This window comes from Homo sapiens, chromosome 11 (assembly GCF_000001405.40).
Source record: "Homo sapiens chromosome 11, GRCh38.p14 Primary Assembly".
Lineage (NCBI taxonomy): Eukaryota > Metazoa > Chordata > Mammalia > Primates > Hominidae > Homo > Homo sapiens.
Window position 1 is genome coordinate 91,752,198 of NC_000011.10, and position 13,829 is coordinate 91,766,026.

General features: G+C 35.7%; 1 annotated feature.

Annotated features, from left to right (window-relative positions):
- Window positions 13,412–13,581: an enhancer, noted in NCBI's record as "experimental_21850 CRE fragment used in MPRA reporter constructs". NCBI's record gives its function as "activates a minimal promoter by MPRAs in K562 erythroleukemia cells, with activity observed for both the introgressed and non-introgressed 11:91498860 variant alleles {active_cell/tissue: K562}" and the evidence as "EXISTENCE:reporter gene assay evidence [ECO:0000049][PMID:34662402]".

Here is a 13,829-nt window from a genome sequence, read left to right on the forward strand (position 1 = left end):
TAATGGATTATTGATCTCATAGACTATAAAGGCTCTCAAAGATCTATCATAGGCTATTGGGTTAATCTAGCAACTGAACATGCATACTTATTTGTCTATTGTCTGCCCTTGTTCTCATGTATAATTCCTCCTTCTGGAGTTAATGGGAGCTATGTGCCTGCTTCCAAGGGGAAAGAAATACGTTTTTAGGTTTCATGCTTCAAATCCCAATGAAATAATAGCTCAGAGAGTGAAGCCTCTGAAGGCTTAAATTTAAATCCTTCAAATGTTATATTCATGTATGTGTCCATCATCATTAAACCTATTCAGAAGTAAGGCCCTGGCAAATTTCATTTTAATTTTGTTTGTTTTTGAAGCTATAGCATATGCATGTGTTAGCTCTGTCGTTCACAGTGGATACACGTCTTTTTGTTTTATTTGTTTAGGGGTGTGTATTTGTGTGTTTGTGTGTGTGTGCATGTGTGCCTGTGTATGTGTATGTGTGTGTAAAAGGAACAGAGAAACAAAAGCACCAGGTGACTTTCTTCAAGCATTCTAAACTAAGACCCTCACTCATCTTCATGATTTGCCAAGGATAGACCCCAACTAGAAGGTAGAAATCCTTGAAACATGAGCTACATAATGGACATACTTGCATAACTATTACTGTAAAGCTACAAACATGCATTGTCACCAGTGGGTTTGCATTATGTGCATTAAAGAAATATATCAATAAATACAATACAATACAATGTCACAGTAAACACATCTTTCCTTCTGCAGAGAGTCAATCATTTGGCAAATTCACTGGTTTAAATAAGAAAGATTACTCACTGGGAATGTATATATATATTTCTCTGAGAAATGCCTTGTGCAATATCCTAGACGCTCAGAAAAATTATATGAAGCCATATCTCCTCCCACAGATGATAGTCTGAAGAAAAATATATAGCCTATAATTTTAGAGTCTAGACATCAAAAATTCCAATTGCATCAACCCTCCGGGTATAAATCAGTAAGAATGTACTAAAGGTATCCCATGATAGAGGATACAGCACCATTTCACTGATTGCCTTACAAGTCCTATGCGCTTCTCGGGGTTTATCTAAATACTTCTCACCACTCAAAGTCAAGCATATGATCCATCTTATACATGAAGACTTTCCTGACTTCTAATCATCCTTATCTGCCGTCTACAATATAATTGCATCTACAGCTCATGAGCATAGTGTGCATTTAATTGTTTTTCAGTTGTTCATAAGAGTTCCTTTTGCTTTTCAGGCTAGTGTGATTTGGAGGGAGAAAATGTTTCCTGAAACTCAGGGTCTGTTAATCTTCATCAACTCTATATCACAAGAAAAGCACCAGCAAGTGAATTAGTCTTGTTAGCACACCGCTGGAATGAATATGAGAGACACACTTGCTGACTCTCTTTCTGGACCCAGATATCCTACTTGTTTTGACCAAAGCCCATATTCTCACTATAGACTAATGGGTTGTGATTTTATTCACCCAAGCATGGGTTTAATTAGTTGAACATGCAGTAGAGAAGAAATTAGCTTGGAGAAGCAAAGAAATAATCATGATATTAACAATGTCTTACACTTTTACATTTGTATTCATTCTAGAGTTTAACAATCAAATTCACTTATATTTTTCACATTTACATATCACAATTAATCCTTGCAATAGCTTGTTGAATCAGTATTGTAAAATAATGGTTAAGATTATGAATTCTCTAGTCACAGAGTCCCTTATTTGAATATAACATTCCCTGTAATTTTAGTTTCTTCAGCTCTAAAGTGGGGAGAATAATGACCTAGCCTTAGTTTATTGTAAAGGTTAATTGAGATAATGCATATTAAACAGTTAATTCTTGGCAGTGAGAAAGTAATCAGTAGATATTAATTATTATTATTATTTCAATTATGATTACTTATGTATTATTATTAGTGCAAAGTCATTAGTGCCTCCATACCATCCCTCTTTATTGATGTCACCTTTCAAGGTATTGGTCTACACTAAACAATTTCTGCAATTATCTTGGATGATTGTATTTTCTACCCACACTTCTCAGTTTGTTGACCTTATCTTGCCCAAAGACTTCTGCACTTTTTCCAGCCACCCACTTCTACAGTCATAACTGTGCTTTTCTCTCATCCAAATCTCTCCATCCCCCAAACTGCTCATTCAGGTTTCTTGCTTTCTCACCATGGTCTTCTATCTTCCTACCTTGCCCATTCAAAATCATGTGGATTACATCAGCACCTCTATTTAATTAACTTCAACTATAAATTTTTCCTCTCCTCCTGCATTTTTTTACTTTCACCCCAAGCTTAGGACTCATAGTCTTCAATTCAAAACTCTCTTGCCAAACCTTACTTTCTCCCACCCCTCCTATTTTTTTTTCAAATAAAACTCATCTAGCATCATCACATCCCTGTTTAAACTTGTTTTCTCTGTTCTTGTACCTAGAAAGTCAAACATTGCTTTGAGAAAATTACTTAACATAATGGATTGAAATTGTTTTAAATTTTTCATCAATAACTTCAGTGGGCTTTCTAAACCCCTAAAGAGCCTTACTCTTTCTTTTTTATTTTTTTGTTTGTTTGTTTTTGAGATGGAGTCTTGCTCTGTCACCAGGCTGCGGTGTAGTGGACCGATCTCAGGTCACTGCAACCTTGGCCTCCCAGTTTCAAGCGTTTCTCCTGTCTCAGCCTCCCGAGTAGCTGGGACTACAGGCAGCACCACCATGCCCAGCTAATTTTTGTATTTTTTGTAGAGATGGGGTTTTACCATGTTGGCCAGGATGGCCTCGATCACTTGACCTCGTGATCCGCCTGCCTCAGCCTCCCAAAGTGCTGGGATTACAGGTGTGAGCCACCATGCCCCAGCCTCCTTTCCTTTTGAATACTACAAAATACCCTTTTCCAAGCTATCTCTTTTGAGCCCTAAACTTGTATTCCAACTTACCTCCTTGACAAATCAGTGGCATCTCAAATTCAACATGATGAGCACTGAATTTGTCTTCCACTTAAAACCTAGTTCTCATTATTTTCCATCTCAGAAAGGTCAGGATTATCTATCTATCCCATTGCCCAAGTCATGAATCTAGAAGTTTTTTTAATTTACCTTTCTGCTTCAACAAGTCTCATTCATGTTACCTCAAATCTTTTAAACCCATCCATTTCTCTCCACCTTCAATAACATCACCATTACCTCTGCCAGTCTCCAGTCTACACTATCATCACCTCTCACTATAACTCTTTGCTGACCACGTGCTTCCTCACAGTTCAGATCTAACCTGAATCATGTGTATGTAAAATACAAATTGGATTGTGCCATTCTTATGCTTAAAATCTTACAAAGGTTTCCCATCTCTGTTAGAATCAAGTTCCTGTCTTTCCCTCCAGCATCACCTTAACTAGTCTACCCCTCATTGTCTATGCCCCCTAGACTAAAATTTCCATGAGGGAGGTTTCATGCTATTTTGTTCACCATCTTATTCTTAGTGCCAACCAAAATGACTCAGACCTCATTCATGCCTAGTAAATAAAACCCACTAAGTGGCTTGCCCAAGGGCACACAGTTACTAGTTCCAACCTTTATGCTTTATTACTGTTTTTACTTTTATTTTAGATTCAGGGGTACATGTGCAAGTCTGCTATATAAAGTGTATGTCACAGGGATTTGGTGTACAGATTATTTCATCACCCAGGTAATAAGCCATAGTACCAGATAGGTAGCTTCATGATCCTAATTCTTCTCCCCCATCCACCCTCAAGTAGTCACCAGTGTATATTGTTCCCTTCTTTGGGTCCCTGGTTATTCAATGTTTAGCTCCAACTTGTAAGTGAAAACATGTGATATTTGGTTTTCAGTTTCTGTATAAGTTCACTTAGCATAATTGCCTCCATCTTTATCCATGCTGATGCAAAGGACATGATCTTGTTATTTTTCATGGCTGCATAATATTCCATGGTGTATATGTACCACATTTCCTTATCCAATCTATCACTGATGGACATTTAAGTCGATTCTATGTCTTTGCTATTGTGAATAGCACTGCAATGAACATACATATGCATGTGTCTTTATGGTAGAAGGATTTATATTCTTTGGGTATATGTTCAATAATGGGATTGCTAGGTCAAATGGTAATTCTGTGAAAGCAGTTTGGCAATTTCTCAAAGAATTTTATGCTTTAGATAGCCTCTTAGTACAACAATAGAAAAAAGGACCATATTAGGCTAAGTGTGGTGGATCATAACTGTAATCCTGACACTTTAGGAGGCCTAGGTGGAATGATTGCTTGAGCCCACAAGCTTGAGGCTGCGGTGAGCTATGATGTGGCATCTGCACTTGCACTGCATCTTGCAGTGCACTTCAGCCTGCAAGACAGAGTAAGACCCTCTAAAGAAAAGAAAAAAGAAAACCCTAATCAAGAAATCAGAAAATCTAGCAAAGAGTCTACACTATTCTCAACATTAATATTAACATATTAGGGATAAGTTAATCTGACTATGGAGCAAGAGAAAGGAAAATTAATAATGTCTTTCCTGCAAGTTGCATTTTGAAAATCTTTCTTGATCACTAACCCAGATTAATCGCTGGTTTGAAAATACCACCTGAAAAGAAAGGGGAGGAAGAGAAGAAGGAGGAAGAGGAGGAGAAAAACAAAGAAGAAACCTTTTAAAGCTTTGTAAAACTTACATCTCATCTATCATTACAAATTTTCATTAGAAATAAAAAAAGATGACTGTATAGAAGAGAGCTTATAAAATGCAAAACACAGACCATTTTGTTTTCATTTTTGCCCCTTAAACTGCTTTACTTTCATTTTCCCTTCATTGTGATGGGTCTTGAAACATCATTTTTAGCACTGCAAACTAAGCAAGCTCCTGGCATCTCTGATACAAAAGAGGAGCCATAATATCATGCCTTTGCAAACACACACTGTGAGCAATCAAGAGAAAAAGGAAATTAAAAACTAATTCTGCTGTTTATTCTACTCATTTATTTTATCAGTCATCTCAGTCTCACACTGAATAACAATCAACAGAGTTTGATAGACACACCTAGGGGAAGCCAGACATCTTCTCTCACAATCTCCAGAAAGCTGGAAAGGAAAGTCAAATAACAATGCTTTGGGGAGTCATCTCTAATTATGTAATCAAAAGTGTCAGTGCTAACATTTCCAGTCAGAAATGTAGTGGAATAAGAAACTGCTGTGGGATATCAATGATTTAAAAAACTGAAATTCTTCTATCACGTATTCAAAATATTTGGCATCCCAATATTATGATAAGGAAGACTGTCCCCAGAGCAATATAGGCTTAGAAGAAAGGTGACCAACTACTAACATCAATGTCTTACTGTATCTGGCTACACTTACATGATCATCCATTTTTGAGTTTTGGTAGTTCAGCGTTCACTGAGAACCACAATGGTTCCTCTGGTGTAAATTCCACCATGCCTCATGGAAATGCTTCATAATGCGTGAAACCAAATTTTCCATCAGAGAAGAGTTTGTCATTTGCTGCTTCTGAAACTTTCTTTAAGAATTTGGGATGGAGACTGAACAGGATGGGAATAATTAGCTTTAATTATTCTTAAACATCAAGACCTATGTGTATAATTACATGTAAGGGAGGAGCTAACTTTCCTCAAAACAGTTAGAAAATGCACAACAGAGCACATTACATTAATGAATGCTAATGAGGCATATGAATCCTAATCATAACAATGCTACCTCTGATATTTGCAGCCATCAATAATAATTATCAACGTATGGTGTATTGCTCTCTTTATTCCTGAATAAATCTCAGGCAATCAATCAATAAGTATTTACTGAGAATTGGTCTTAAGTCAGGTTCCCTGGAAAAAAACTCTAAGGTGGATCATTTACATGCAGGAATTTATTGAAGACCAACACCTGTGTGGGAATGAAATAAACAGGATTGGACAGAGGAAGAAGCTGAATTGCGATGAAGTCACAACGAACGCTGTACCCGATGGTATCTCCTACAGCTTGCTCTGAAACTGGAGAAACCTTCAGATGGAGGCAAGGGAACTGGGCCTTTTGTACTCTCCCCCCAGCCCATCCTCTCTAATTGACCAGTTATTGGATACAGGCTCTCTTCGGTGAGAGAATTTACAAAAAAGCAACCCATTTGCATGGCGTTGACTATTTCTAAGTGATACAATACATCATCAGCTAAAAAGCCTATTATGTGTCTGTTCCATGAACCCTCTGGTATTAACTAAGAATAAAGAATGCAGAATTCAAACTTAACAAACTCCTATTTATTTTTCATGTCCCAGCCCAAATAATTGTGAGGTCTCTGGAGATTTTCCAGAGTAAAATTAGTTGCTCCTACCTCTTTGTTCCCTCATCACTACACTCATAGATTTGTAGTAATACTTGTCAAATTGAATTATATATTATTGCTTTCTGGTCTACGTCCTACAACAAACTATGCATTCCTTGAAGGCAGGTTGCAATTTAAATGTCACTTTCCTAACTAAAATCTCCCACCCTAAGTACCCATACTCCATTTGTCATTCCTAATCACATCATGCTTATGTTTTTTTCTTAGCATTTATCCTGACCTATAATTATTAGGTTTGCTTGTTTACTTGTTTGTTTTTAAACAATTGATGAAACTATTGTTTTACAATCTCATTTAAATAAGAGTAACCATGTATATAGCCAATGGTTTTATATGTGACTAATTAGTCATATATAATGACTAACGTAATTGTTTTATGTATGCTTAATTAGTGACATATGATAAATAGAATTCTGTTTATGTATTTTAGTAATGTTTGAATTTAACATGCCTTGTTTTTTTTTAAACCAAGAAGCCAGTTTCTATCATAAATCTTGTTTATTTCAAAACCCTAGTTTGTAGTACTTTTCTATGCCAGTTTTTTTAAATCACCAACATCTCAGTCAAATTCCATAATCAGTATTATTATCCAATATGCATATGTACAATGTAAAATAGATCAGCAGGTTGCATGTTTTTATGATCTGTCTAATCTAAGAATATACTAGGCATTGAATGTATATTTTATGACTTGAGAAGTGGAAATACGTCTGAGTTTGGAGTTGAGTTTAATTTCTACTTTTCCTATCCATGGTTTTAATTTGGTATACCTAGAGTTGATCCTCCACATCTATCTGTAGATTCTGCATTCATGGATTCAACCAGTTTCAGATCAAAAATATTTTTTAAGATGGATGGTTGCATCTGTGCTGAACATGTCATTATTTTTTGTCATTATTTCCTAAACAATATAGCATAACAACTCTTTTCATAGCACTTACATTGTATTAGGTATTACCAGTAATCTAGAGATGATTTAAAGTATACAGAAGGATGTGTTTAGGCTATTTGTAAGTACTACACCATTTTACACAAAAGACTTGAGTATCCTTTGACTTTTGGTATCCAAAAGGGGTCCTGAAACCAATCCCTCATGAATACTGAAGTATGACTATATATGTATACATGCGTATGTTTACTCAAATGAGTTCAATGAAAACCCAGGGGAAATAGTTATTGTTCAATAGCATACATTTTGTAACTAATTAGACTCAAGCAGTATTATAGAGCATGGTAAACATTCAATAGAGGATTACATGGGAATATCTGAGAAATTTTACCTATAAAAATTTATTATTCTTTTACTGGTGGGTAACAGTTGACTATCACGTGGAACTGGGGGGTCTGAGTTGTATTAATATTTTAGTTAGTGATGCATTCTCTCAAGTCACTGGCTTTGATCTCCAATTAGTACATCTTTATATTGTGAAGATTGGAATAATGATTGACAAATTGCCTGGATTTCTATAGTTCAACATTAATTTTCTGCAATCAGGATTTATAGAGCTTCCTAAAGAGTAATGTTTGTTTCAAAGAAGATCAGAAAAACCCATAGATGTATAAAGCGTTTTCTATTAAGTTTTATCTCTCTTATAGGTGATTTCTCCTTTAACCATTCAAAGGAAATTAAAAATCATAAACTAAATGTAGTTAACACTTAATATGAGCATTAGAAATTTAGAGAGGCAAGATTGGAGGATTTATTTTTCCAGCAGTTTCTCATTTCTCCTTCCCATTCTGCTACAGTAATAGGGTTTGTCTGCGAAAGCCTCCGTCTATAGAGTTTCCTTTTCATCCAGGTAAATTAGGCTGTTCTATTATTAAATACGTCCTCTACAACTGTTAAGAAGTCTCTAAAAGTACAAGAAGATTTAGTAATATAATAATTACTCTATTTGAGATGTAGGACATCAAAGTTGGGTTCAAAGTCAAAACAGGCCAATTTCCAATTTATAAACATTCATTTACACAAAAAACTTTAAAAAGGATTTGGTTACCTCACCTCAGAGTTCCTACCAGCCCATCATTGAAGCTTTGGAAAGAAGCGTTCTTTGAGTTCAGAAGTGAAAAGGGAGGATATAAAAACAGGAATCCCAAAAGGCAGTTGACCCTGAGATCTAGATCCAGGCTGAACCTAACACATTTTAGCCCATATCCCCCAAAATTCTTTCTCCAATCTGCCTGACATGTATAAAATGATGATTTCTTCAAGAAAATCAGCCCCACTCTGAAACACAGCAGGATAACATGACGGTTAAATGCATTGGCCCTAGAGTCAAACAAACTCAATCTCAGCTCTACTATGTAAGCGATGCAAAAAACAAGTAATTTTCTATCACTCTGTATTAATTTAGTCACCTGTAAAATGATAATAAAAGTAGAATTTACCTCATAGGAAATCTGTGAAGTTTTAAAGCGATTTACTCTATGGAAACTGCTTAGAACTATGCCTGGCACATATGAAGTGTTTTTAACGGTAGTACTGTGAATTAGTTTTCTGGTATCACTCTTCTATTAACTCTCTAATAGCAAAATAACTGAGGCAATAAGAATTCTAATAGAAAGAAGAGAGGAAAAATTTCCTGGAGTGCTGTAGAATGAAGAGGTATTGTTTAAGTGAAAGAAGACATAAGGTTTCAGGAAAGAAAGGCACTAGAAGAGGAGAAAAACAGAGTGGGATATGGGATGATGTTAAGAAAATATTTGACCAGGTAATTAATATGTTGGTCACAAATGACATTATATGAAAAAAGAAGTAGTCATTTTCCCCCTCTTTTACATTTTCATGCACAGAATGGTCTATGGTTCTTCGAACTCAGAACCCAATCTAGCGCTAAGGCCTTCAAAGGCCTCTAAACTAATCTGGAACCAACTAATTCTAACCTTCTTTTTATTATAAACAGAGCTCTAAATTCTAACCAAGACTCTACAATTGAGAGTTTGAATATAGTAATTAACCAAGCCTTTTGCAAATATGTACCAGCAGAAACCCAAAGAGATAGCTTCCATATAGAGCCCAAGGGTAAAAATACAAAGAAAAGGAGCAGAGTCCTGATGAGGATGGCTGATACAGAGTTCCCGAAATGGAAATATAGGAACCATCTGTTAAAAATGCATACTTGATGAGTTGTAAGCCACCAGGACCTTTTAAAGTCTTTACCATGTTAAGTACATCTGGAATCACACTGATTATTGGGTGCTCAGAAAAGGAAGCAGGCTCCAGCTGACTCTGGGCATTAGTAGCCAAATGGAAGTTAGAACAAAAGAAAAAAGACCATTAAGTAGCCCTCCTCAGGGAGCAGCACAGGAAAAAAGAGGCAGGAGGCAGGAGAGATTTATTTCCCTAAACACTCTAAACAAACGCCGCAGATTCTGACTTCTTGGGCCAGGGCTGGAGGTTTCCATGGGGAGAACTGCTTCAAAAAAGGTCATGTTAAGGTAAGACAAGAAATTCTTTTTCCAAAAATGACATAATTCAAGCTTTCCCAGAACGTCCAGTTTCTTATATTGAGCACTTACTCTGTGTCAAAATGTGGGCAAATCACACATAATATCTTATTTCATCTTTATTTTAAAACCCTATGAAGTGAGTGATGTTATTACTCCATTTGATAGATAAGCGAACTGAGAATCACAGAGAATAAGGGAGTAAGTAGTTTGTACAAGGTCACAAAGCTAGTTTGTGGTAAAACTTCAAATCCCTCACGAGAATTTATAAAATAATATGGGTTACACGAATGAGAGAATATTCCATAGACTATTTGGCTTTCTATTTCCTAAAGAAAGAAAGGGAAAGTAATAACATCAATTTGGAATTACACCAAAGTCTTTAAATTTGCTTTAAATATAATAGACTTTTACAATTTCAGATACATACATGATTTCTACAGGCGAATGATTGCTTCTTGCATATATAATTTAGTAAATCAACTGGTCTAAGTAGATTACATTACAAAAGTCTACTAACAGATTATTAAAGTTAGTAGAAACAGAAGAAGAAGCATTCATTGCCCTTGGGTGACATTTCTATTTGGGAAATGTTGGAAGTTTATTTCTACAAGATTAAGAGCAGTACAAGAATATCCCATTAAATGAGATCCTATGAATCTAAAATTTTCTTAAAGGAAAAAATAAAACTACTTGAAAGTAAATTATATTGTTCTGCTTCCTTACCAACACACATTATTTCACACACACACTCACGCCCAAACACACACACACACACATCCTTTTACACCATCTCATCTCCTCGAGCAGAGCCAATAGTGCATTATTAACATGCAACATTAATTTAGCACTGTTTTTTCTATACCATTAACTTTTTTTCTGGCTCTCTATATGTCAGTGTACATTAGTTTTTCATAGAAAAGTTACAATATCTGTTCTAAAGCTTAACTAAACTTCAGCGTAAATCTTCCTTGTCAAACTCAATCCTTTGACCCATCTTTAATCTGTGTTCCAAATTTACAGTTAGAGAAAGATGTGAGAGGGTGATATCAATGTAAAGTAAAAAAGTGTTTTGCCTTGATAAATTTCAGTGTATAAAATCACTAACTCCAGGAACCAAAATAGGACTTAAAATGTCATGTTTTAATATTTTTAAAGATTTTGCAAGCCAGCATGAAAATAGGAATGGTGTAAGGAAACTGATGGAGACATATTAGATATGTAATTAAAGCTATAGTTGTGCAGAATACTGTTAGCCGAGACATGTATTGTCACTGATAAAGAGAAAAAAGAAAAGAGTTGCAGGATTTTAAAAAATATTTTGCCAGTTAAATATACAAAAATATTCCCCATACTTTGGAAATGTCATACAATATGTGTCAAAGAGAAGTCTCATTCTCTTTGCAGCTCTGCTCAATGTTTTATGTTTCCATCATTTCTGTTTCCTCCTCTTTTGGTGATATGCATGTCATGTGTCTGTGGACCTAAAGGGAAAACTCACATAAACACAATGTCTGCATTGACAACTTTACAGTTCATCTGCAATAAAGACATCCATTGAGTATGATAAAATTCCATTGCAGTATATCATCTAGAGACTTTATAAAAGGAAAGCCCTAGGTGCTCAGCACCCATTGTGGCTACTAAATTATGTATACTGCTTTATGTTTCCTTAATTTCCAATGTCCCAATTAGATCACAGACTAGCATATTATGCCTTCTTTATAAATGCCAGGATTTGATTTGAAGTTATAGAACGGTCATTTATTACTTTTGGTTGAAATTCCCATTTTGGAAATATTGGAAGTTAATTTCTACAACATTAAATGCATGCAGTACAAGAATACTTCATTACATGAGATTCTATGAATCTAGCATTTATAAGGAAGGCAACAGGGACAGCAAATATCTGATTAAAGTAAATGACTAACAGGACTCTTATCAAATTTTTAATTCTGAAGATGCAAGGCAGGTTTGTATATTTATGGGATATATGGAATGTTTTGATGAATTATACAACGTGTAATAATCACAACAGGGTAAAAAGGGTATCCATCACCTCAGGCATTTATCCTTTGTGGTACAAACAATGACATTATACACTTTGAGTTACTTTAAAATGTACAATTAAAGTATTACTGACTATAGTCACCTTGTTGTGCTATCAAATACTAGATTTTATTCATTTAATTTAACTAATGTTTTGTGCCCATTAACCATTTCCACTTCTCTGCCTACCACCCCAACTACCCTTCTCAGCCTCTGGTAATCATCCTTCAACTTTCTATCTTCATAAGATTGGGTGTTTTAATATTTAGCTTCCACAAATGAGTGAGAACATGAGAAGTTTGCCTTTCTGTGCCTGGCTTATTTCACTTATGATGACCTCCAGCTCCATCCATGTTGTTACAAATGACAGGATCTCATTCTTTCTTATGACTGAACAGTACTCCATTGTGTGTATGTACCACATTTTCTTATTCCATTCATCTATTGATAGACGTTTAGGTTGCTTCCAAATCTTTGCTATTGTGAATAGTGCTGCAGTAAACATGGGAGTGCAGATATCTCTATATATTTGTATTACCTTTCTTTTATGGATATATCTAGGAGTGGGGTTGCTGGATCACATGATATCTCTATTTTTAGTTTTTTGATGAATCTCCCAACTGTTCTCCAGAGTGGTTGTGCTAATTTATATTCCCACCAACAGTGTACAAGGGTTCCCTTTTCTCCACATCCTTGCCACCATTTGTTATTGCCTGTCTTTTGGATAAAAACCATTTTAACTGGGGTGAGATGATATCTCATTGTAGTTTTATTTTGTATTGCTCTGGTGGTCAATGATGCTGAGCACCTTCTCATATGCCTGTTTTCCATTTCTGTGTCTTCTTTTGAGAAATGTCTATTCAGATCTTTTGCCCATTTTTGATTGGATTATTAGATTTTTTTTCTATAGAGTTGTTGGAGTTCCTTCTATATTCAGGTTGTTGATCCTTTGTCAGATGAGGAGTTTGCAAATATTTTCTCCCATTCTGTGGGTCACGACTCCTTTGGGTGGAAGTGACAAAAATTCAATGGAAGATAGCTTAAACTATAACAGTAAGAGCAATAATTAACATTCACCAAAAACTTACTGTGTTCCAAGCATTTAGCTAAGTATTTCTCACACATGTGCTAGGTACTCTCTTTGTCTCATTTTTGACACATGAGGAAATGTGGCTCAGAGAACTCAAGGCACTTGTCCACACCAACAGAACTGGTAGATCATGGATTCAGATAGGAATTGAGCCAGTTTGACACTTAATTACTATGCCACTGGGAAAGAAAAATCCATTTATCTGAAGAAAACAAGGGGTGGTCACAAAATTAAAGGAAGAACGAAACAACACCCCAAGTCAGGAAAGAGGGCAGAAAATAAAACCAAGAATTATCTTATGTTAAAATCTTTCATCCTTTTCTCCTATACAGTAACAGTCTCCATGTGGCAGAGAATATGGCTATGAACAGGTCAGATTCCCATCTTTACCACTAAAGTTGAAAGGACATAGCATCAACACAACCAACACCCAAGACTGAAACATTCTGGGGAAGGATTCTGATGCATACCCACCCTCGGACTCAACAATGGGCTGGCGAAGTGCTGCAAATGGTCCACCTCCTGCTGGTTTGAAGGGGATGGAAAGGGCTTAGGATCCATTATGGAACCACATGGAAGGATTTGAGGAGTAGTTTTCCAAAGAAAGGTGCCGTTAACAGAAAAACATAAAGGCAGTTGTATTATAATGGAAATAACAATAACTGTTCATTATTCTTAGATGCAGAGGTGTGGACTCAGACTTCGCTCAAGTGTGGCTGAATCAGAGGCCCTTGGGAATGTCTGCATTTCCATGTGACTTCTAATTCATTTAAAAACAATCATTTCTGCCCTACCATCTTTATGATTCTTTCAAATGTGGTAACAGTTTTCAAAAAATTAAAATTCCTCGATATGATTTGTGACTATTTCAA